The sequence below is a fragment of the Homo sapiens genome, chromosome 12 (genome assembly GCF_000001405.40).
Source record: "Homo sapiens chromosome 12, GRCh38.p14 Primary Assembly".
NCBI lineage: Eukaryota > Metazoa > Chordata > Mammalia > Primates > Hominidae > Homo > Homo sapiens.
This window is the reverse complement of record NC_000012.12, coordinates 50,373,992-50,398,244: the sequence shown is the minus strand read 5'-3', so window position 1 is coordinate 50,398,244 and position 24,253 is coordinate 50,373,992. Positions and strand designations below refer to the sequence as shown.

Below are 24,253 nucleotides of genomic sequence, written 5' to 3'. Positions count from 1 at the left end.
TGCAGATCACGAGGTCAGGAGATCGAGACCATCCTGGCTAACATGGTGAAACCCCGTCTCTACTAAAAAATACAAAAAACTAGCCGGGTGTGGTGGCGGGCGCCTGTAGTCCCAGCTACTCGGGAGGCTGAGGCAGGAGAATGGAGCAAACCTGGGAGGCGGAGCTTGCAGTGAGCCGAGATCATGCCACTGCACTCCAGCCTGGGCCACAGGCGAGATTCCGTCTCAAAAAAAAAAAAAAAAAAAATTAGCCAGGTGTGGTGGCGCATGCCTGTAATCCCAGCTACTCGGGAGGCTGAGGTAGAAGAATCGTTTGAACCTGGGAGGCAGAGGTTACAGTCTGCTGAGATGGCACTACTACACTCCAGCCTGGACAACAGAGTGAGACTCTGCCTCAAAAAAAAAAAAAGAAAGAAAGAAAGGAAGGAAGGAAGGAAGGAAGGAAGGAAGGAAGGAAGGAAGGAAGGAAGGAGAAAGAAAGAAAGAAAGAAAAAACAATACATACACCTGTAGTAAAACTATGTAAAAATAGATAACACAAATATGTAAAATTCATGATTGTCATTTCCTCTGGAATGGGACAGTGGGGAAGGAAGGAACCAGGGGTGGGGGACATCAAAGAGGACTTCAACCTTCTGTAATGCTTTTTTATTATTAAAAAAATTGGAAGCAAATATTAAACAAAAATTAGCCAGGCGTGGTGGCGCGCACCTGTAATTCCAGCTACTCAGGGAGGCTGAGGCACAAGAATCTCTTGAACCTGGGAGGCAGAGGTTGCCATGAACCAAGATCACACCACTGCACTCCAGCCTGGGTAACAAAGTGAGACTCTGTCTCCAAAAAAAAGGGAAAGAAAAGAAAAGAAAAGAAAAAAGAGTAAGCAGTGCAAAGAGTGTGATCCTCATCCAAATGATATCATCCAAGTTACTTCATCCAAATGATATCATCCAAGTTACTACATGTCTAGGAAAAGTTAAGGGGCAGCTGAGGAAGTAGTTGTAACCTTTATTCCATTACAGGCTTAAAAATACTTAAGCAAAACCCCAGGAAGAGAGAAGAACCAGGAGTTATATTTGACACACCTAGATTTTTTTTTTTTTTTTTTTGAGACAGTTTCACTCTTGTTGCCCAGGCTGGAGTGCAATGACGTGATCTCGGCTCACCACAACCTCCGCCTCCCGGGTTCAAGTGATTCTCCTGCCTCAGCCTCCCAAGTAGCTGGGACTACACGCATGTGCCACCTCACATGGCTAATTTTGTATTTTTTTTTTTTTAGTAGAGACGGGGTTTCTCCATGTTGGTCAGGCTGGTCTCGAACTCCGACCTCTGGTGATCCACCTGCCTCGGCCTCCCAAAGTGCTGGGATTACAGGCATGAGCCACTGCACCCGGCCAACACATCTAGATTTTAAGCTTATTTAAGCAGGGCTATATCTTCTGTTTATTTTAGCATTCCTGTTGTCTATTATTTCCTACCCTCCTTCCCCCCTCACCCTTCTACCATGGCAGCATATAGAATGACCAGTTCTCTGCACATAGTAAGCATTCTTTACATGTTTGATCAATGATAATGTCACAATGGGTCTATTGTGACATCAACAGGACGGGAATATCATGGGAGCCACCAATTAGTAGCAGAGTATGCCACAACTTCTAGGATCAGGAAAGACCTCTCCTAGCTTCCTACTGGATATCTTTATTAGCATTTTTGTAGATTCTGTGAAAAAGAAGAAATAAAACGAAATCACCCACATTTTCAAAATGTTCTTCAAAATGAAAAATGAGATAGACAATGACCCTGAATCAGAAAAATGCATCAAGGATTCCACCATCATGAGAAGAGAGCCCCAAAATATCCTTAGTCCTTTGATGCTCCCTAACCTTGAGATCCCATTCTCAGTAAAGGATATCATCTCTAGGATTGAGCGCGCACAGCTCCATCGAGCCAGAGAGGTAGGTAGTGAATCTGAAGTTTACAGACTGCAATTTTCTTTTTAAACTTTCTGTGACCAAGTACATTTTTGTTTATTTTAGAAATCACTTTCATGATATTTGACTGTATTTAGGGTAGCTTTGACTTCAAATGACAATTTCACCTGACACCGACTGTGGATATAACAAGCTCCAATTTGACATTAATCTCTTTATATCAGGTTTAATAAAGCCATTTAAGAAATAAATCAAGCCGGGCATGGTGGCTCACGCCTGTAATCCCAGCACTTTGGGAGGCCGAGGCGGGCGGATCACTGAGGTCGGGAGTTCAAGACCAGCCTGACCAACATGGAGAAACCACCGTTTCTACTAAAAATACAAAAAGTTAGCTGGGCATGATTGCACTTGCCTGTAATCCCAGCTACTCAGGAGGCTGAGGTAGGAGAATTGCTTGAACCAGGGAGGTGGAGGTTGTGGTGAGCCAAGATTGCACCATTGCACTCCAGCCTGGGCAACAAAAGCGAAACTCTATCTCAAAAAAAAAAAAAGTTTTCATTTGTTCCCTATGGAGGTTTTATCAAACAGCTATTAGCCAGATAGAATTTAGATGGCTTTGAATTCTAGCTCCTTTTATTTTCCCTGTACACTTCAAGGAGAAATTAGGAGAAATTCAAGGAGAATAGAAAGAGTGTTTACATAATGTCAGCCGGGTGCGGTGGCTTATGCCTGTAATCCCAACACTTTGGGAAGCTGAGATGGGAGGATCCCTTGAGGCCAGGAGTTAGAGACCAGCCTGGTCAACATAGTGAGACCCCATCTATATTTTTAGAAAAATAAATAAATAAATAAATACATAAGAATCTAATAGACCCCCAAACAATTAAGGTTATACTGCATTTTATTCTCTCGCAGTACAACAAAATCAGGCCAGGCACAGCGATTCATGCCTGTAATCCCAATGCTTTGGGAGGCCAAGGCAGGAGGATCTCTTGAGCCCAGGAGTTCTAGACCAGCTTGGCCAACATAAGGAGACCTCCTGTCTACTAAAAATAAAAAAATTAGCCAGGCATGTTAGCTCAAACCTGTAGTCCCAGCTCCTTGGGAGGCCAGAGGATCCCCTGAACCCAGGAGACTGCAGTGAGCACCATGCTTGCACTACTGCACCCCACTCAGCATGGGTGACATAGCGAGACCCTGTCTCAAAAACAAACAAACAAACAAAAATCAGTCATGTTTGATGAAATTGATTAAGGGGGGGTTCTTTCCTATGTTTAAGGAAAGCTAAACTGGTCACAGTGGCTCATGCCTGTAATCCCAGCACTTTAGGAGGTCAAGGTGAGAGGCTCACTTGAGCCCAGGAGTTTGAGACCATCCCAGGCAACAAAGCAAGACCCTGTCTCTAGAAAAAATTTAAAAATTAGCCAGGAAGTGGTGGTATGCACTTGCAGTCCCAGCTACTCGGGAAGGTCCCTTGAGACCAGGAATTTGAGGTTACAGTGAGCTATAGATTGTGCCACTACATTCCAGTCTGGTGACAGAGGGACTCTATCTCTAAAAAAAAAAAAAAAAAAAAAAAAAAAAGAGTGTTAGCCAGGCACAGTGGCTCACTCCTGTAATCCCAGCACTTTGGAGGCCAAGACAGGAGGATCGCTTGAGTCCTGGAGTTCAAGACCAGTCTGGGCAACATAGTAAGACCTCTGTCTCTCTCTCTCTATAGGTAGATAGGTAGATAGATAGATAGATAAATAGATTTTTTTTTTTGAGGCAGACTATCATGCTATTGTTCAGGCTGAGTGCAGTGGCGCGATCTTGGCTCACTGCAACCTCCATCTCCTGGGTTCAAGTGATTCTCCTGCCTCAGCTTCCCAAGTAGCTGGGACTACAGGCACCGGCCACCAAGCCTGGCTAATTGTTTTTGTATTTTTAGTAGGGACAGGGTTTCACCATGTTAGCCAGTATGGTCTTGATCTCCTGACCTTGTGACCCACCCCCACTCCAAAGTGCTGAGATTACAGGCGTGAGCCACTGCGTCCAGCCCATTTTATATATTCTTTTAAAAAACAAAAACAAAAACAAAAAAACAGAGTGCTTGGCCAGGTGTGGTAAGTAGCTCATGCCTGTAATCCTAGCATCTTGGGAGGCAGAGGCAGGTGGATCACTTGAGCTCAGGATTTCAAGACCAACTGGCCAATATGGTGAAACCCGGTCTCTACTAAAAATACAAAAAATTAGCCGGGTGTGGTGGCTCCTGCCTGGAGTCCCAGCTACTCAGGAGGCTGAGGCAAGAGAATCACTTGAGCCCGAAAGGCAGAGGTTGCAGTGAGCCGAGATGGTGCCAATGCACTCCAGCCTGGGTGACAGAGCAAGACTCTGCCTCACAGAAAAAAAGAGTGCTAAATATCGATAAATTCCCACTCCTCACACAGACTTTCTCCTGTTCCAACTTCTGGCAACTAGCAACAATAACACAGTGTTTGCTTTTAACAGCTTTATTGAGGTACAGTTAGCATACCATAAAATGTATGCAACCTCTGCCTCCGGGGCTCAAGCCATCCTCCCACCTCAGCCTCCCAAGTAGCTGAGACTACAGGCACACACACCAGCACGTCTGGCTAATTTTTGTATTTTTTGTATAAATGGGGTTTCACCATGTTGCCCAGGCTGGTCTTGGACTCCTGAGCTAAAGCAATCTGCCTGCCTCAGCCTCCCAGAGTGCTAAGATTACAGGCTTGAGCCACCACGCCTGGCCCAAAATACACTTTTTTTTTTTTTGAGATGGAGTCTCGCTCTGACACCCAGGCTGGAGTGCAATGGCACCACCTCGGATCACTGCAACCTCCGCCTCCCAGGCTCAAGCAATTCTCCTGCCTCAGCCTCCCGAGCAGCTGAGACTAGACAACAGGCACCCGCCGTCATGCCCGGTTGATTTTTGTATTTTAGTAGAGACAGGGTTTCACCATGTTGGCCAGGCTGGTCTTGAACTCCTGACCTCAGGTGATCCTCCCGCCTCGGCCTCGCAAAGTGCTAGGATTACAGAAGTGAGCCACCGCGCCCAGCCAAAATGTACATTTTAAAAGTATGCAAGTATCGAGCCGGGAGCGGTGGCTCATACCTGTAATCCCAGCACTTTGGAGGCGAGGCGGGCGGATCACGAGGTCGGGAGATCGAGACCATTCTCGCTAACACGGCGAAACCCCGTCTCTACTAAAAATACAAAAAATTAGCCGGGCGTGGTGGCGGGCGCCTGTAGTCCCACCCACTCGGGAGGCTGAGGCAGGAGAATGGCGTGAACCCGGGAGGCAGAGCTTGCAGTGAGCCAAGATTGCGCCACCGCACTCCAGCCTGGGTGACAGAGCAAGACTCCGCCTCAAAAAAAAAAAAAAAGTATACAAGTATTGATACTGGCTGGGCGCGGTGGCTCACGCCTGTAATCCCAGAACTTTGGGAGGCTGGGGCGGGCGGATCATGAGCTCAGGAGATCGAGACCATTTTGGCTAACACCGTGAAACCCCGTCTCTACTAAAAATACCAAAAAAAAAAAAAAAAAATTAGCCAAGTGTGGTGGCACACGACTGTAGTCCCAGCTACTCGGGAGGCTGAGGCAGTAGAATTGCTTGAACCCAGGAGGCGGAGGTTGCAGTGAGTCAAGACAGCGCCATTGCACTCCAGCCTGGGAATAGAGCGAGACTCCGTCTCAAAAAAAAACTATTGATATACATAAATACCTGTGAAACCGGCTGGGCGCGGTGGCTCACGCCTGTAATCCCAGCATTTTGGGGGGCCGAGGCGGGCGTATTACAAGGTCAGGAGATCGAGACCATCCTGGCTAACACGGTGAAACCCCTGTCTCCACTAAAAATACAAAAAATTAGCCGGGCGTGGTGGCGGGCGCCTGTAGTCCCAGCTACTCGGGAGGCTGAGGCAGGAGAATGGCATGAACCCGGAAAGGAGGAGCTTGCAGTGAGCCAAGATCGCGCCAGTGCACTGTAGCCTGGGCGACAGAGCGAGACTCCGTCTCAAAACAAACAAACAAACAAACAAACAAACAAACAAACAACAAACCTGTGAAACCTTCACCACATCGACATAATGATTTTGCCCATTTCCCCCAAAAGTTTCTTCATGCTGCTTTATAATCCCTCCCACATGCTGTTCCCTGCCCCCCACCCCCAATCCCCAGCTAACCACCAATCTGCTTCTGTCACTGTATATTAGTTTGCATATTTTAGATTTTATATAAGTGGAGCCATACAGTATCTACTTTCTTCTGCCTCACGTCTTTCACTTAGCATAATTATTTTGAGATTCATCCACACTTTTGCATATATGAATAGTTGATTCCTTTTTATTGTTGAGTGTTTTTCCATGGCATGGCATGGCATGGGCTGTTTCTGGTTTTGGGTTATTACAAATAAGCTGCTATAAACATTCATGTACCAGTCATTATACAGATATATGCTTTCATTTCTCTGGAATAAATACCTAAGCTTGGAATGGCTAAGTCTAAAGGTAGTAAATGTTCATTTTAAAAAATAAACTACTAGGCCAGCTGCAGTTGCCCATGCCTGTAATCCCAGCTACTTGGGAGGCAGAGGCATGAGAATCTGCCTAGGAGGCAGAGGCTGCAGTGAGCCAAGATCGAGCCACTGCACTCCAGCCTAGGTGACTGGAGACAGTGAGACTGTCAAAAAAATAAAATAGGCCAGGCGTGGTGGCTCACACCTGTAATCCCAGCACTTTGGGAGGCTGAGGCAGGCGGATCACAAGGTCAGGAGTTTGAGACCAGCCTGGCCAATATGGTAAAACCCCATATCTACTAAAAACACAAAAATTAGCCGGGCATGGTGGCAGGTACCTGTGGTCCCAGCTACTTGGGAGGCTGAGGCAGGAGAATTGCTTGAACCTGGGAGGCAGAGGTTGCAGTGAGCCAAGATCGCGCCACTGCACTCCAGCCTGGGTGACAGCGAGACTCTGTCTCAAAAAATATATATAAAAAATAAAAAATAAAAAAATAAAATAAGGCCTGGCATGGTGGCTCATGCTTGTAATCCCAGCACTTTGGGAGGCCGACAAGGGTGGATCAGACCACCTGAGGTCAGGAGTTTAAGACCAGCCTGGCCAACATGGTGACACCCCATCTCTACTAAGAATACAAAAATCAGCCAGATATGGTAGCAGGCATCTGTAATCCCAGCTACTCGGGAGGCTGAGGCAGGAAAATTGCTTGAATCTGGGAGGTGGAGGTTGCAGTGAGCCACAATCGCACCACTACACTCCAACCTGGGCAACGGAGCAAGACTCCATCTCAAAAACAAAAAAAAGGAGGTAGGGCATGGTAGCTCATGGCTGTAATCCTAGCACTTTGGGAGTCCAAAGTGGAAGGATTGCTTGAGCTAAGGAGTTTGAGACCACCCTAGGCAACATGGCGAGACCCTGTTTCTACAAAACATACAACAATTAGCCAGGGGTGGTGGCTACCTCGGCCTCCCAAAATGCTGGGATTATAGACATGAGCCATTGTGCTAGGCCCTTTCACCAATAGTATGAGAAAAAATGTAGTGAAGGAAGCCCCGGCATCCTTGAAGAGCTCTGTGATCACTCTTCTCTAGAGTTCAGACCTTAACAGTGGGAACTGTAGTCACTGAATTTGTAAACCTAACTGGGACCCAGTAGTGGCACCCAACCACCAAAGGCAAGGTGGATATGATTACTGTAATGGACAGCAGCAGGAAAGCAGCAATCAAAATAGTCTGACTCACACTGACCTATGGCATTGGCTAGTTGATCAAGATGTTCCCAGAAATGAATAGATAGGAAGCCTACTAAATTCTTACTTAATCTGAACAAGTAGGAAATTCCTCGGTCGAATGAAAATAAATACCTGAATCATGAATCATGAAAACGAGTCAGAGTCCATCAGTCAATTCCCAAACTTGAGCCAGTTGACAGACTCAGAGCTCCTTGAGTGAACAGGACCTCAAGTTCTCTTGAAGAAGGACCCTGGGTCTACCTGTATACTATTACTTTTTCTGCTGACCTTGTAACAGAGTGTGCATTGGGAAAAAGGAAATAATCAGACCTTTTGGGGGACTACTGGGCACTGGCTCTGAGCTGACATTAATCCCAGGAGATCCAAAATGTTATTGTGGTCTACCCATTAATCAAAAAAGCTTTAGCTCAGGCCCATCTCACAGTGAAACTAGTGTGTCCCCAAACCCATCCTGTGGTTATTTCACAAGGTCCAAAATGTGTAATTGGAATATACATACTCAGCAGCTGACAGAATCCCCACACTGACTCCCTTACCTGTGGAGTGAGGGCTACTGTGGTGGGAAAGGCCAAATAGGAGCCACTAGTGCCTCTACCTAGGAAAACAGTAAAAATAAAACAAATATCCCATTCCTGGAAGAATTAGTGCCATCATCAAGGACTTCAAAGATTCCTTAGTGGTGATTTCTACCATATCCTCATTCAACTTTCCTGTTTGGCCTGTAAAGAATACAGATGGATTTTGGAGAACGACAGTGGATTATTGTAAGCTTAACTAGGTACTAAGTCCAGTCACAGCTTCTGTACCAGATGTGGCTTCATTGCTTGAACAAATTAACACATTCCCTGGTTCCTGGTATGCCGCTATGATCTGGCAAATGATTATTTCTTCCAATCTGTCAATAAGGCCCACCAGAAGTAGTTTGCTTTTATCTGGGAAGGCCAGCGATACAGCTTCGGTCTTCTATCTCAGGAGTATATTAATTTGCCAGTTGGGTAGAATTTACCTGCAAAACCATCTGGCCCAAGGAAGTTTCTTTTTTTGAGATGGAGTTTTGCTCTTGTTGCCCAAGCTGGCGTGCAATGTCGCGATCTCAGCTCACTGCAACCTCCACCTCCCAGGTTCAAGCAATTCTACTGCCTCAGCCTCCCAAGTAGCTGGAATTACAGGCATGCACCACCATGCCCGGCTAATTTTGTATTTTTAGTAGAGACGGGGTTTCTCCATGTTGGTCAGGCTGGTCTCAAATTCCCGAACTCAGGTGATCCACCCACCTCGGCCTCCCAAAGTGCTGGGATTACAGGAGTGAGCCACAGTGCCCAGCCTATTTTTTTATTTTTAGTAGAGATAAGGTCTTGTTATTGTGCTCAAGCTAGTCTTTAACTCTTGAAGTCAAGTGTTCCTCCCATCTCAGCCTCCCAAAATGCTGAGATTACAGGCATGAGCCATCACACCTGATTTTTTTTTTCTTTTTTCTTTTTTTTAAATGACAGAGTCTCCCTCTGCTGTTGCCCAGGCTGGAGTGTAGTGGCACGATCTCGTGTCACTGCAACCTACGCTACGCCTCCCAGGCTCAAGTGATCCTCCCGCTTCGGACTTCCGAGTAGCTGGGACCTCAGGCATGCACCACGCCCAGCTAATTTTTGTATTTTTGGTAGAAATGGGGTTTCTCCATGTTGGCCAGGCTGGTCTCAAACTCCTGATCTCAAGTGATCTGCTCGCTTCGACCTCCCAAAGTGCTAAGATTACAGGCATGAGCCACTGTGCCCAGGCACTGTATTTTAAGAAATTAATTTTTCCTAGGGAGAAACTATTGCCCCTTCCTAGGTGAGGTCTGTGAATTGTTCTCATTAATCCTTTTAGGTAACTGTCAACTGTCACTTAGTTGACAGGATGAAAGGATACATCTTTTTTTTTTTTTTTTGAGACGGAGTTTCACTCTTGTTGCCCACACTGGAGTGCAATGGTGCATTCTCAGCTCACCGCAACCTCCGCCTCCCAGGTTCAAGCGATTCTCCTGCCTCAGCCTCCTAAGTAGCTGGAATTATGGGCATGTGCCACCACACCTGGCTGAATTTTGTATTTTTAGTAGAGAGGGGGGTTTCACTGTGTTGCCCAGGCTAGTCTCGAACTCCTGACCTCAGGGGATCCTCCCGCCTCTGCCTCCCAAAGTGTGCGATTACAGGTGTGAGCCACTGCGCCCGCCTGGCTGAAAGGATAAACCTTGACCCTGTTATTCCATTGGGATATTGTGAAATATAACAATTCTTAAAATCTTTGGAATCTCCAAAGTGATGTCTTTTTGTATGCTAATGATTGACAGCTAGCTTCAGGATGGGACTGGTCATTAGAAAGACAAAGCCCTGATTAGAGGGTTGGGACTTTCAACCCCACCCCCCAACCTTCAGGGGTGGGGAAAGCCGCTGAAGGTCAAGCTGCTTATCTACGGCCAATGGTTTAATCAACCATAACTATGTAATCAAACCTCCATACAAACCCAAAGGACAGGGTTTGGAGAGCTTACAGAGAGTTGAACACATGGAGGTTCCTGGAGAGTGGTGTGCCCAGAGAGAATATGAAAGTGATATAGGAGTTAAGAAGAAATCACGTAGGCAGATAGTGAGGGTATGGGAGTCCTTGGTAAGGCTTTTCTTTTTAATGAAAAGCAGCCCCAAATCATTTTCTAACAAAGAGCAGCCTGTAAAGTCGAGCTGCAGACACAGAGCAGCAAGCTGGGAGCTTGCAGGGGTGAATGCCAGCAGAAACTAGGGACTAGACATGTTCAAGAGGGCGATTCCATCTTTCCTTCTCTGCCAGCCTTGTGTACAGTAAGGAGGAGACAACGTGGTGCCGGCCAAGGAGAGTTCATTTGCATAGTAATATTAGGGTGAAGCAACCAGCCTTCCATATGCACTATGTAAACATCATATCTGATTGAACCAATCTGTGAGCCTTACATAAATCAGACACCAGCTCCTCAAGCCACACTATAAAATCTAGCACATCCACCACCAGCCGGTCTTTTCCTCTGGGAAGATCTCCCTCTCTTTATTGAGAGTGCTGTTTTTCTTTCTCTTTTCTTCTGCCTATTAAACCTCCACTCCTAAACTCCTAGTGTGTATTCGTGTCCTAAATTTTCCTGGTACCAGATGATGAACCCCAGGTATACAACAGAGACAATGTAGCTGCTTCAGAAGCTCCATTCCCCTTCCACAATACCTTGCCCTAGCATCTCTTCAATAAACCAGTTCTGTGAGCTGCCCCAGCAAATTAATCCAACCAAAAGAGGGAGTCTTAGGAATGCCAAATTGAAATTGATTGGTCAGAAGTTCTGGAGGCCTGGATTTGTGACTGGTGTCTGAGTGGGGGCAGTTTTGGGGACTGAGGCTTCGACCTATGGGATCTGACACTGTATCTAGGTAGATGGTGTCTGAATTGAAATAAAAGACACCCACCTGATGTCCATTGCAGAAATGGTTCCCTGCTTGGTGGTGGGGAGAATCTGCTCCTCCGACCCCACATTTGGTCTGATCATGGAAGTCTTCTGTGTTAATAAGTTGATAACTGTTTTGCTGAATAGAAAAAAATAGAATAGAAAAAAAAACTGAAAGTTTTTTCCAATATCCATCTGGGATGAAATCATAAGTTGAATTTTTTTTTTTTTTTTGAGACAGAGTCTCATTCTGCTGCCCAGGCTGGAGTGCAGTGGCACGATCTCGGCTCACTGCAACCTCTCCCTAACCCCCCCACCCCCAAACTGGGTTCATGCTATTCTCTTGCCTCAGCCTCCCAAGTAGCTGGGATTACAGGTGCGCACCATCATGCCTGGATAATTTTTGTATTTTTAGCAGAGACGGGGTTTCACCATGTTGGCCAGGCTGGTCTTGAACTCCTGACGTTAAGTGATCTGCCTGCCTCAGCCTCCCAAAGTGCTGGGATTACAGGCATGAGCCCGGCCAAAATGTTCTTTTTCTGTATTGAGTTGACCAAAACGGTTTATGTGTGGTGTACAACATTATGTTTTGATATATTTATACATTGCGGAATGGCTAGATCCAACTACTTAATGCATGCATTTCCTCACATATCTTTTTTGTTTGTTTCTTTGTTTGTTTGTTTTTTGAGACAGGATCTCACTCTGTCTCTCAGGCTGGAGTGCAATGGCATGATCTTGGCTCACTGCAACCTCCACCTCCCAGGTTCAAGCGATTCTCCTGCCTCCCTATAGCTGGGATTACAGATGGGTGCCACCAGGTTTGGCTAATTGTTGTATTTTTAGTGGAGACAGGGTTTCGCCATGTTGGCCAGGCTGATCTCGATCTCCTGACCTCAGGTGATCCACCCACCTTGGCCTCCCAAAGTGCTGGGATTACAGGCGTAAGCTACTATGCCTGGCCACCTCACATTTCTTTTTGTGGTGAGAACACTTAATATCTCCTCTCAGCAATCTTCAAGTATACAATGTATTGTTATTAACTATAGTTATCATGATGTATAATAAATCTCTTGAACTTATTTCTCCTGTCTAACTGAAAAATTGTATCCTTTGACTAACATCTCCACAATCTGCCCATCCCCAGCCTCTGCTAACCACTGTTCTACACTGTCTGCTTCTATGAGTTTGACTTCTTTTTTTTTTTTTGAGATGGAGTCTCGCTCTGTTGCCCAGGCTGGAGTGCAGTGGTGCGATCTCAACTCACTGCAAGCTCCACCTCCTGGGTTCAAGCAATTCTCCTGCCTCAGTCTCCCGAGTAGCTGGGACTACAGGCGCCTGCCACCACGCCTGGCTAAGTTTTTCTATTTTTAGTAGAGACGGGGTTTCACCATGTTAGCCCGGATGGTCTAGATCTCCTGAGACCTCGTGATCCACCCACCTCGGCCTCCCAAAGTGCTGGGGTTACAGGCTTGAGCCACCACGCCCGGCAAGTTTGACTTCTTTAGATTCCACATATGAGTGAAATCATGAAGAAGCCTTTTAGTTTGATGTAATACCATTTGTCTATTTTTGCTTTTGTTGCCTATACTTTTGGAACCATATACAAAAATCATTGTCTAGAACAATGTCATGGAACTTTTCCCCTGTTTCCTTCTAGTAGTTTTATACTTTCTTTTTTTTTTTTTTTTTTGAGACAGAGTCTTGCTCTGTCGCCCAGGCTGGAGTGCTATGGCGTAATCTCAGCTCACTGCAACCTCTGCCTCCCAGGTTCAAGCAATTCTCCTGCCTCAGCCTCCTGAGTAGCTGAGACTACAGGTGCGTACAACCATGCCCAGCTAATTTTTGTATATTTAGTAGAGACAAGGTTTCACTATGTTGGCCAGGCTGGTCTTGAACTCCTGACCTCATGATCCACCCACCTCGGCCTCCCAAAGTGCTGGGATTACAGGCATGAGCCACCACGCCAGGCCATAATTTCACATTTTATGTTTAAATCTAATCCAGGCTGGGCATGGTGGCTCATGTCTGTAATCCCAGCACTTTGGGAGGCCAAGGCGGGTGGATCACCTGAGGTCAGGAGGTTGACACCAGCCTAGCCAACATGGTGAAACTCCATCTCTACTAAAATACAAAAATTAGCTGGGCATAGAGGCAGGCACCTGAAATCCCAGCTACTTGGGAGGCTGAGGCAGGAGAATCACTTGAACCTGGGAGGCAGAGGTTGCAGTGAGCCAAGATCGCGCCAATGCACTCCAGCCTGGGCAATAGAGCAAGACTCAGTCTCAAAAAAAAACAAAAACTCTAATCCATTTTGAGTGGATTTTTGTATATGGTGTAAGTTTAGAGTCTAATTTCATTCTTCTGTACGTGGATATCCAGTTTTTCTAACACCATTTATTGAAGAGACTCTTCTTTCCACATTGTTTTTGGCATCTTTGCTGAAAATCAATCGACTGTGAAATGTGTGGATTTATTTCTGGGCCCTCTACTCTGTTCCATTGGTCTAATGTATCTGTTTTTATGCTAGTACCACACTGTTTTGATTATTATGGCTTTGTATTGAATTTTGAAATCAGGTACAGTGATGCCTCCTGCTTTGTTCTTTTTACTCAAGATTGCTTTGGATATTCAGGGTCTGTTGTGGCTCCATACATGTTTTAGTTTATTTATTTATTTTTGTTTAGAGACATGGTCTGGCTCTGTCACCCAGGCTATAGTGCAGTGGTGCAATAATAGCTCAATGAAACCTTGGACTCCTGGGCTCAAGGGATCCTCCAGCCTCAGCTTGCCGACCATCTAGGACTACCACACCCAGTTGATTTTTTTTTTAATTTTTGTAGAGACAGGGTCTCCTATGTTGCCCGGGCTGGTCTTGAACTCTGGCCTCAAGTAACCTTTTCACCTTGGCCTTTCAAAATGCTGGGATTCCAGGTGTGAGCCACCACACCTGGCCTCTGTACATATCTTAGGATTTCTTTCTTTCTTTTTTTTGAGACAGAGTCTCACTTGTCGCCCAGGTTGGAGTGCAGTGGTATGATCTCAACTCACTGCAACCTCCACATCCTAGGTTCAAGCAATTCTCCTGCCTCAGCCTCGTGAGTAGCTGGGACTATAGGCATGTGCCACCATGCCTGGCTAATTTTTGTATTTTTAGTAGAGATAGGGTCTCACCATGTTAGCCAGGATGGTCTCGATTTCCTGGCTTCGTGATCCGCCTGCCTCGGCCTCCCAAAGTGCTGGGATTACAGGCATGAACTACTGCGCCCGGCCTATTTCTTTCTTTTTTCACATTAGGCTGGTTTATATGTGCTGCTCTGGGCAGTTACATAGTTTGCTTACAATGAGGAGTTACCTGACTTTGAACATACTGTACATGGCAATTAGAAGTTGTCATGGCAAGAGAAAAACCACAGCCAGCCTGCTGCAGCCAACAGAAAAACAACCACAGACCAGTAGGGGGAATGTAGGGATAAAGGTGGGGTTTGTTTGTTTCTTTCTTTTTTTTCTTTTTTGAGACAAAGTCTCACTCTGTTGCCCAGGCTGGAGTTGAGTGGCGCGATCTTGGCTCACTGCAACTTCTGCCTCCCGGGTTCTAGTGATTCTTCTGCCTCAGCCTCCCAAGTTGCTGGAACTACAGGTGTGCACCACCACGCCCAGCTAATTTTTTGTATTTTTAGTAGAGATGGGGTTTCACCATGTTGGCCAGGCTGGTCTCAGACTCCTGACTTCATGATCCACGTGCTTCCGCCTCCCAAAGTGCTGGGATTACAGGTTATAGGCGTGAGCCACCGCTTCCAGCCGTTTCTTTTCTTTCTCTCTCTCTCTCTCTTTTTTTTTTTTTTTTTTTTTTTTTTTTTTAGACGGAGTCTTGCTCTGTCACCCAGGCTGGTGTGCAGTGGCTGCAATCTCAGGTCACTGCAACCATCACCTCCCAGGCTCAAGTGATCCTCCCACCTTAGCCTCCAGAGTAGCTGAGATCACAGGCATATGGCACCACACTGGGGGCTATTGTTTTTTGTTTTGTTGTTGTTGTTGTTGTTCTTTTTGTATTTTTATAGAGATGGGGTTTCTCCATGTTGTCCAGGCTGGTCTTGAATTCCACCAGCCTTGGCCATTCAGAGTTCTGGGATTATAGGCATGAGCCGCTATGCCCGACCTTGTTTCTTACTATAAAAGAAAAAAATAACTCCTCAGCAGTCTTAAAAGAAAGGGATCAAAGAGATGTTAGGATACAAAATTACAAGTATTTTAAATCCAGGCCTGTCCTCATCTCCTTCAAGAGCAGAGGTAGAAGGAGACAGTTGAAGCAAACAAGTAAATTCTGTAAAAATTACTTGGAAACCCTACAAATTTTATTAAAATCTAAACTTCTATTTTGCTTTTTATTTATTTATTTATTTTATTTTTTGAGACAGAGTCTTGCTCTGTTGCCCAGGCTGGAGTGCAGTGGCACGATCTCAGCTCACTGCAACTTCTGCCTCCCAGGTTCAAGCGATTCTCCTGCCTCAGCCTCCTGCGTAGCTGGGATTACAGGTGTGAGCCACCACACCTGGCTAATTTTTGTATTTTTAGTAGAGAAAGGGTTTCACCATGTTGGCCAGGCTGGTCTTGAACTCCTGGCCTCAAGTGATCTGCTCACTTCAGCCTCCCAAAGTGCTGATATTACAGGCGTGAGCCATTGTGCCTGGTCATATATATATATTTTTAATTAATATATTAAAAAGCATGCTAAAGTGACATGCTATTCCCCCTAGAAAATAACCCCAATACCCCCTCTGCCAGTAACATGCTTAAGTTGACCAGCCTACTCGTATCTCTAAGCATGTGTGGACAAGAGTGTGTCTTTTTTTTTTTTTTTTTTGAGTTGGAGTTTTGCTCTTGTCACCCAGGCTGGAGTGCAGTGGTGTGATATGTGTATGTGTCTTTAAAACGAAAGCCATGGGCATCAAGTGACTGCTCATCAAGTAACATGTCATCTGTTAACTGACCAGTGTCCACCTTCTCCAGAGGGTGGGCAGAGCAGAGAAATCCTAAAGTGGTTTTTAGGGACTAACCCCAAATCACCAACTTTCCAAGAACTTCTTCCCCACTCCCTACTCAAAAGGGGATGCTTGATTTCTGTTTGCCTCATATTTGGTGCCCTTTGACCTGGATGGTTTTCTCCTTGTCACCCATGCTGGAGTGCAGTGGCACGATCATGGCTCACAGCAGCCTCAACTTCCTGGGCTCAGGTGATTCTCCCACCTCAGCCCCTTCAGTAGCTGGGACTTACAGGTACAAGCCACCATGCTGGCTAATTTTTTAATTTTTTATAGAGACAGGGTCTTGCAATATTGCCCAGGCTGTTCTCAAACTCCTGTCCTCAAGTGATCTTCCCACCTTGGCCTTCCAAATTTCCAAGATTACAATCATGTAAACCTGCCTGGCTCTATTAGTTTTTGACTTAAAGTTTATGTTCGGTTATATAAGTATAGCTGCTCCTGTTCTTTTTTGGTTTCCATTTACACAGAATATCTTTCCATCTCTTCATTACATTTAATTAATTAATTAATCAATTTTTTTTTGAGACAGAATCTTGCTCTGTTGTCCAGGCTGGAGTGCAGTGGTGCAACCTTGGCCCACTGCTACCCACTGTGGGTCTCCTCTCTGCTGACAGCTGGACACTCATTGGGATGAGCTACCTGTGGAGAGGAGCTACCCACTGAGGGTCTCCTCTGAGCTGTTCTGTCACTCAATAAAGCACCTCTTCACCTTGCTCACCCTCCACTTGTCTGCATAGCTCATTCTTTCTGAATGCAAGACAAGAACTTGGGACCTGCCGAATGGTGGGACTGAAAGAGCTATAACACAAACAGGGCTGAAACACGCCCCTTGCTTGCCATGTTGCAGGTGACAAGAAGGAGAGTAGAGAGAAGGAAAGAAGAGAGAAAGAGAAGAGCTGTGGCCCTTCGGGGAGCCCAGACCTAGAAACTCCCTAAGCCAGGGCTGCGACACCCTCTTTGGGGCTCTGTGGTTCCTGGTGTCTCCAAGCTTCTGGGTGCCACCACATTGCCTGGTGCTAGCTGTGGAAGCTGCTTGCAGTATGCCTGGTCCAGCCACAGCCTCACAGGGAGTCGGCACTGTGCCTGTGCCTGGAGATGCCCACCCTGCCACAGGTGGCATGCCTGGATGTGCACAGTGGCCGGGCCCAATGCTCACTTGCTCACATACCCCTCGCCACTCCATGCCTGGCTCACCCTTGGCAGGCATGGGATCCAGGCCAGTAGCATGAGCTGAGTGCAGCCTGCAATGCTGAATGGGCGAAAGGAGCCCAGTGGGCCTGAGCAAAACTTGGGCAAAAGTTGGCCACAGGGGTTTCTGGCCAGAAAAGCGACACCCCAAATATCCCATCACACCAGTTCTTTTTTTTTTTTTTAGACAGTCTCACTCTGTCACCCAGGCTGGAATGCAGTGGCATGATCTCAGCTCACTGCAACCTCCACCTCCCAGGTTCAAGCGATTCTCTTGCCTCAGCCTCCTGAGTAGCTGGGATTACAGGCATGCACCAGCATGCCCAGCTAATTTTTTTTTTTTTTTTTTTTTTTTTGTATTTTTAGTAGAGACAGGGTTTCATCATGTTGGCCAGGCCGGTCTCGAACTCCTGACCTCAGGTGATCCACCAGCCTCAGTCTCCCAAAGTGCAGGGATTACAGACGTGAGCCACCGCACCCGAACAACACCAGTTCTTATTATATACAATATATTTATTAGTTGATTTCCAGTACACACATAATGTAATTTCAGAATTACTAATCCATAAGCATATAAGAAGGACATTTATTAAGTAGCACTGCATTTATGTACCATTGTTTTATATTTAACCTTACATTGTCCACTCAATATACTGTTTTCAAAGTTGCTACCTATTTATCTTCTTCTAAGTGAAGTTATGTTATTCATTTGTATACACTTAATTTCAGTTGTTAGTATTCATATTCCATTTTGGGTCAGCCCAAATACAGGTTGGTTTTAACAGTTTATTATCGAGTATATGAAAGGTATGTATGTGAAACATTACTGTGCTGATAAAAGTCAGAGCTACATGCAGAAAAATGTCACTCCTTTCTTATCTTTGCTACCCTATTGTCATTCCTTCTTTCTTTCCACCTTTTCCCCACATACACCCTATATGTAACCAATCTGTCTAGCCTCTGGCTTATCCTTCTTGTATTTATTTTGCACAAATGAGTAGATTCATGCATAATTTTTCATTTCTCATTTTTTCTTACATGAAGGGTAACATACAATAGCTATATTCTTTTGTGCTTTACTTTTTTTTTTTGAGATGGAGTTTTGCTCTTGTTGCCCAGGCTGGAGTGCAATGGCGCGATCTTGGCTCACTGCAACCTCTGCCTCCCGGGTTCAAGCGATTCTCCTGCCTCAGCCTCCCAAGTAGCTGGGATTACAGGCATGCTCCACTACGCCCGGCTACTTTTGTATTTTTAATAGAGATGGGGTTTCTCCATGTTGATCAGGCTGGTCTCTAACTCCCGACCTCAGGTGATCCACGTGCCTCGGTCTCCCAAAGTGATGGGATTACAGGCATCAGCCACTGAGCCCGGCCTGTGCTTTAGTTTTTTTTTGTTTTTGTTTTTGTTTTTCCCTCTTTTTTTCTTTCTTTTTTTTTTTGAGAGGGAGTCTCGCTCTGTTGACCAGGCTGGAGTGCCGTGGCACTATCTTGGCTCACTGCAAGCTCCGCCTCCTGGGTTCATGCCATTCTCCTGCCTCAGCCTCCCGAGTAGCTGGGACTACAGGCGCCCACCACCACATTCGGCTAATTTTTTGTATTTTTAGTAGAGACGGGGTTTCACCATGTTAGGTAGGAGGGTCTCGATCTCCTGACCTTATGATCCACCCACCTCGGCCTCCCAAAGTGCTGGGATTACAGGCGTGAGCCACCGTGCCCGGCCCAATTTTTGTATTTTTAGTAGAGATGGGGTTTCATCATGTTGGCCAGGCCGGTCTCAAACTCCTAAACTCAGGTGATCTGCCTGCCTCGGCCTCTCAAAGTGCTGGGATTACAGGCGTGAGCCACTGCACCCAGCCTTCTTTATTCTTTTAAATAATCCATTGTGCAGTTATACCATAGTTAATTCAACCACTTTCCTATGTATGGACATTTAAGTTATTTCCAATACTTCATAATTACAAACAATGCTGCAGAAAGTAACCTTACACATAGACATTTTCATATGGTTGAAGCTGTACCTCCAAGGTATATTCCTAGAAATGGGATTGCTGGGTTAAAATTTAAGTGTACCTGAAGTTCTTTTAAGCACTGACACATTTTCTTCCAGAATAGTTGTGCCAATTTGTATTCCCACTAGTGATATGATTTGTAAATATTTATTCCCAGATTGTGGCTTGACTTTTCATTTTCTTTTTTTTAATTTAATTTTATATATATATGTGTGTGTGTATATATATGTATGTGTATATATATATATATACAATTTACATATGTGTATATATATATATACAATTTACATATGTGTATATATATATATATACAATTTACATATATGTATATATATATTTTGAGATGGAGTCTCACTCTGTCTCCCCGGCTGGAGTGCAGTGGTGAAATCTCGGCTCACTGTTTCCTCTGCTCCTGGGGTTCAAACGATTCTCCTGCCTCAGCCTCCCGAGTAGCTGGGATTACAGGCGCCTGCCACTGCACCTGGCTAATTTTTGTACTTTTTAGTAGAGACAGGGTTTCACCATCTTGGCCAGGCTGGTCTTGAACTTCTGACCTCGTGATCCACCCACCTCGGCCTCCCAAAGTGTTGGGATTACAGGCGTGAGCCACCGTGCTCGGCTGACTTCATTTTCTTTTTTTTTTTTGAGATGGAGTTTCGCTCTTGTTGTCGAGGCTGGAGTGTAATGTCGCAATCTCGGCTCACTGCAACCTCCGCCTCCCGGTTCAAGCAATTCTCTTACCTCAGCCTCCAGAGTAGCTGGGATTACAGGCATGTGGCCACCACGCCGGCTAATTTTGTATTTTTAGTAGAGACAGGGTTTTTCCATGTTGGTCAGCCTGGTCTCAAATTCCCGACCTCAGGTGATCCACCTGCCTTGGCCGCCCAAAGTGCTGGGATGAGCAGGCATGAGCCACCTCGCCTCGCCGACTTTTCATTTTCTTAACAGTATCTTTCATATTGCAGAAGTCTTACATTTTTGTGAAATCTAATGTATCATGTTGTACTTTCTTTCTTTTCTTGTTTTTTTTTTTTTGAGGTGGAGTTTTGCTCTTTTGCCCGGGCTGGAGTGAAGTGGCACGATCTTGGCTCACTGAAACTTCTGCCCCCACCGGGTTCAAGCAATTCTCTTTCCTCAGCCTTCTAAGTAGCTGGGATTATAGGTGCCAGCCACCACGCCCGGCTAATTTTTGTATTTTTAGTAGAGACAGGGTTTCACCATGTTGGCTAGGCTGGTCTCCAACTCCTGACCTCAGGTGATCCACCTGCCTCGGCCTCCCAAAGTGCTAGGATTACAGGCGTGAGCCACTGCGCCTGGCCTTGTGTTGTACTTTCATTGGTTGTGCCTTCGTTATCATATCAAAGAAATCATTGCCTTAACCCAAGTTCGTATTTTCTCCCATGTTTTCTTCTAGAAGTTTTATAGTGTTAAATTTTATATTTAGCTCATAGATTCATTTGACTAAATTTTTGAAATATTGTGCAAGATATGAATAAAAGCTTGTTTTTCACTTCTGGTTTGTGGATATTCAATTATTTGAACACCACTTGTTAAAAAGACTGTCCTTTCTCTACTGAGTTGCATTTGCACCTCTGTCAAAAATTAATTGACCACATGTATGTGAGTCCTTTTCTAAACACTCTATTCTATTCCATTCATGTATTTGTCCGTCATTACACCAATACCATACTGTCCTGATGATTGTAGTTCTTTTTTCCCCCTTTTTACTACCTAATTGCCAAATGGTGTTTCTTCCAACCTTGTGTTTTTTCCACTTCCAGAAGATTGCCCCTTTAAATTGTGCATCTTTAAACACAGTTCTGCTGGGTGCAGTGGCTCATGCCTATAATCCCAAGCACTCATGAGGCTGAGGTGGGAGGACCATTTGAGCCCAGGAGTTTCAGACCAGCTTGAGCAACACAGTGAGATCCCATCTCTAAAAAAAATAAAAATAAAAAATAATTAGCTGACCATGGTGGCACTCGTCTGTAGTCCCAGCTACTTGGGAGGTGAAGGAGGAAGGATCTCTTGAGCCCAGGAGTCCTAGGCTGCAGTGAGCTGTGACTGCATCACTGAACTCCAGCCTGGGCAACAGAATAAGACCTTGTCTAAAAAAAAAAAAAGAGAGAGAGAGAGAGAGGTAAAAGGAGGTTTGACCCACATTGCCAGTTTAGGGTGGAGTCCAGGACCAGAGTGAGAACTTCCTTGATGCCTTTTGGCCGATCAGATGGTACTTTTACCAGGCCCACCATGGCTGCTCATGGACCAGTCAGCATGCACTTCCTCCCTTTTGAGCCCATAAAAACCCCAGACTTAGCCAGACTCAGAGACTCCTAGGGACTACCTGCCTGCAGACAGAAGCTATCCACTTTGAGTGGCCTATACTCATCAGGCCTACCTGCCTTTGGATAGCAGCTACCCACTTCAAGTCTCCTCTACCCTTGTTGGGATGACTTGCCTGCGGATAGGAGCTACTCACTTCAGGTATCCTCTCTGCTGAGAGCTCTTCTGTTGCTCAGTAAAGCTCCTCTCCACCTTGCTCACCCTTCAGTTGTCCATGTAAACTCATTCTTCCTAGACATGAGACAGGAACTTGGGACTGAACAGCAGGAGCTAAAAGAGCTGTAACACATCCCCAGCTTGCTCACTGAGCTATGGGTTGTGACATGCCCCCGGACCGTGTGAGTGAAAAGTGGTGATCCTTCTGAGGGCCCAGACCTCTGAGCTTTTGGGCACCACTGAGTTTCCCTCATCCAGACACTGGTGCCTGCAGCAGAACCTGCTTGTGGTATGTCTGGTCCAGCCACAGCCTCTCCCAGAGCCAGTGCTTGTGCCAGCACCTGGAGATGCCTGCCCTGCTGCTACAGTGGGGGTGCACAGTGGCCAGACCCTGCACTTGCTTGCTCACACACCCCTCGGTGCTCCATGCCTGGCTCACCCTTGGCAGGCATGGGATCCGGGCCGGTATCACGATCTGAGGGCAGCTTGCTGGGCCTAGTAGGTGGAATGAGCCCAGTGGGCATGAGCAAAACTCAAGCAGAGGCGTCGCTGGCCACAGAGGTTTCTGGCTGGCAAAGTGACACCCATAGGATCCTGTGACACTGTTTTATTAAATTTCAATTTCTTTTTCTTTTTCTTTTTCTTTTTTTTTTTGAGATGGAGTCTCCCTCTGTCACCCAGGCTAGAGTGCAGTGGCACAATCTCGGCTCACTGCAATCTCTGCCTCCCAGGTTCAGGCGATTCTCCTGCCTCAGCCTCCCGATTAGCTGAGATTACAGGTATGCACCACCATACCTGGCTACTTTTTTTTTTTTTTTTTTGAGACAGAGCTTCGCTCTTGTTGCCCAGGTTGGAGTGCAATGGTGCAATCTCGGCTCGCTGCAACCTCTGCCTCCCGGGTTCAAGCAATTCTTTTGCCTCATCCTCCTAAGTAGCTGGGATTATAGGTGTGTGCCAACATGTCTGGCTAATTTTTTGTATTTTTAGTCGAGACAGGGTTTCACCATGTTGGCCAGGCTGGCCTCAAACTCCTGACCTCAGGTGATCCACCCACCTTGGCCTCCCAAATTGCTGGGATTACAGGCATGAGCCACCACACTCGGCCAAATTTCAGTTTGTAATTGTATATCGCTAGTGTAAATAAATGGTTTTTGGTTTGTTTTATTTTATTTGTATTTATTTATTTATTTTTTGAGATGGAGTGTCACTCTGTGGCCCAGGCTGGAGTGCAGAGAAGCGATCTTGGCTCACTGCAACCTCTGCCTCCTGGGTTCAAGCGATTCTCATGCCTCAGCCTCCCAGGTAGATGGGACTACAGGCACATGCCACCACGCCCGGCTAATTTTTGTATTTTTGATAGAAAGGGAGTTTCGTCATGTTGGCCAGTCTGGTCCTGAACTTCTGTACTCAAGTGACCTGCCAGCCTTGGCCTCCCAAAGTGCTGGGATTACAGGTGTGAGACACTGCTCCTGGCCTCTTTGGTAAATTCTTTGGGAGTTTTTACATGGACAAACTTTTTGTTGTAAATAGAAACCATGTTGCTTCTCTCTTTCCAATCCATTTTCCTGTATTTCTTTTTTTGACCTTATTGAATTGGTTAGGACATTTATCCAATGTTGAGCAGAAGTGATTAGAACAGAACCTTTAGAGCACTTGAGACGTTTACCATTAAGTATGATGCTAGCTGTAAATGTTTTGTAAATGCTCTTTATCAGGTTGAGGAAATTACCCTCTATTCCTCATTTATTATCGAGCTTCTTTTAGAAATCATGAATGAATGTTGAATTTTGTCAACTTCTTTTTCTGTATATACCGAGGCGATAAATGGTTCTTCTTTAATCCGTTGACATAGTGAGTTACATTTAGAAATTATCAAATTTTGAATCAGCCTTGCATACCAGGGTAAATCCCACTTTTTCATGATGCTATTTTTTAAGGATATTGTTTGTTTCTATTTTCTATTTTATTTTATTGGTCACCTATCTGTCCCAGAATTTTTGAAAATCTTTTTTTTTTAATTTCTATAAAGATTTTTATTTAGAACTTTCTTTCTTTCTTTCTTTATTATTATTATACTTTAAGTTTTAGGGTACATGTGCACAATGTGCAGGTTAGTTACATATGTATACATGTGCCATGCTGGTGCGCTGCACCCACTAACTCGTCATCTAGCATTAGGTGTATCTCCCAGTGCTATCCCTCCCCCCTCCCCCCACCCCACAACAGTCCCCAGAGTGTGATGTTCCCCTTCCTGTGTCCATGTGTTCTCATTGTTCAGTTCCCACCTATGAGTGAGAATATGCGGTGTTTGGTTTTTTGTTCTTGCGATAGTTTACTGAGAATGATGATTTCCAATTTCATCCATGTCCTTATAAAGGA

The 24,253-nt window shown here is 45.4% G+C and overlaps 1 protein-coding gene across 1 annotated transcript in view, besides 1 other annotated feature; it reads left to right on the top strand.

The window, feature by feature from the left end:
* The first annotated feature begins 1,635 nt into the window (after positions 1-1,635).
* FAM186A (family with sequence similarity 186 member A) overlaps positions 1,636-24,253 on the top strand; it is a 69,301-nt gene continuing 46,683 nt past the window's right edge. The window contains exon 1 of the mRNA NM_001145475.3: positions 1,636-1,952. Coding sequence (NP_001138947.1) covers positions 1,761-1,952 — 192 coding nt within the window. The 5' untranslated portion in view covers positions 1,636-1,760. The remainder of the gene's footprint in view (positions 1,953-24,253) is intronic.
* Positions 18,172-18,372: a silencer, noted in NCBI's record as "peak1729 fragment used in MPRA reporter construct". NCBI's record gives its function as "represses an SCP1 promoter by STARR-seq MPRAs in K562 erythroleukemia cells {active_cell/tissue: K562}" and the evidence as "EXISTENCE:reporter gene assay evidence [ECO:0000049][PMID:32103011]".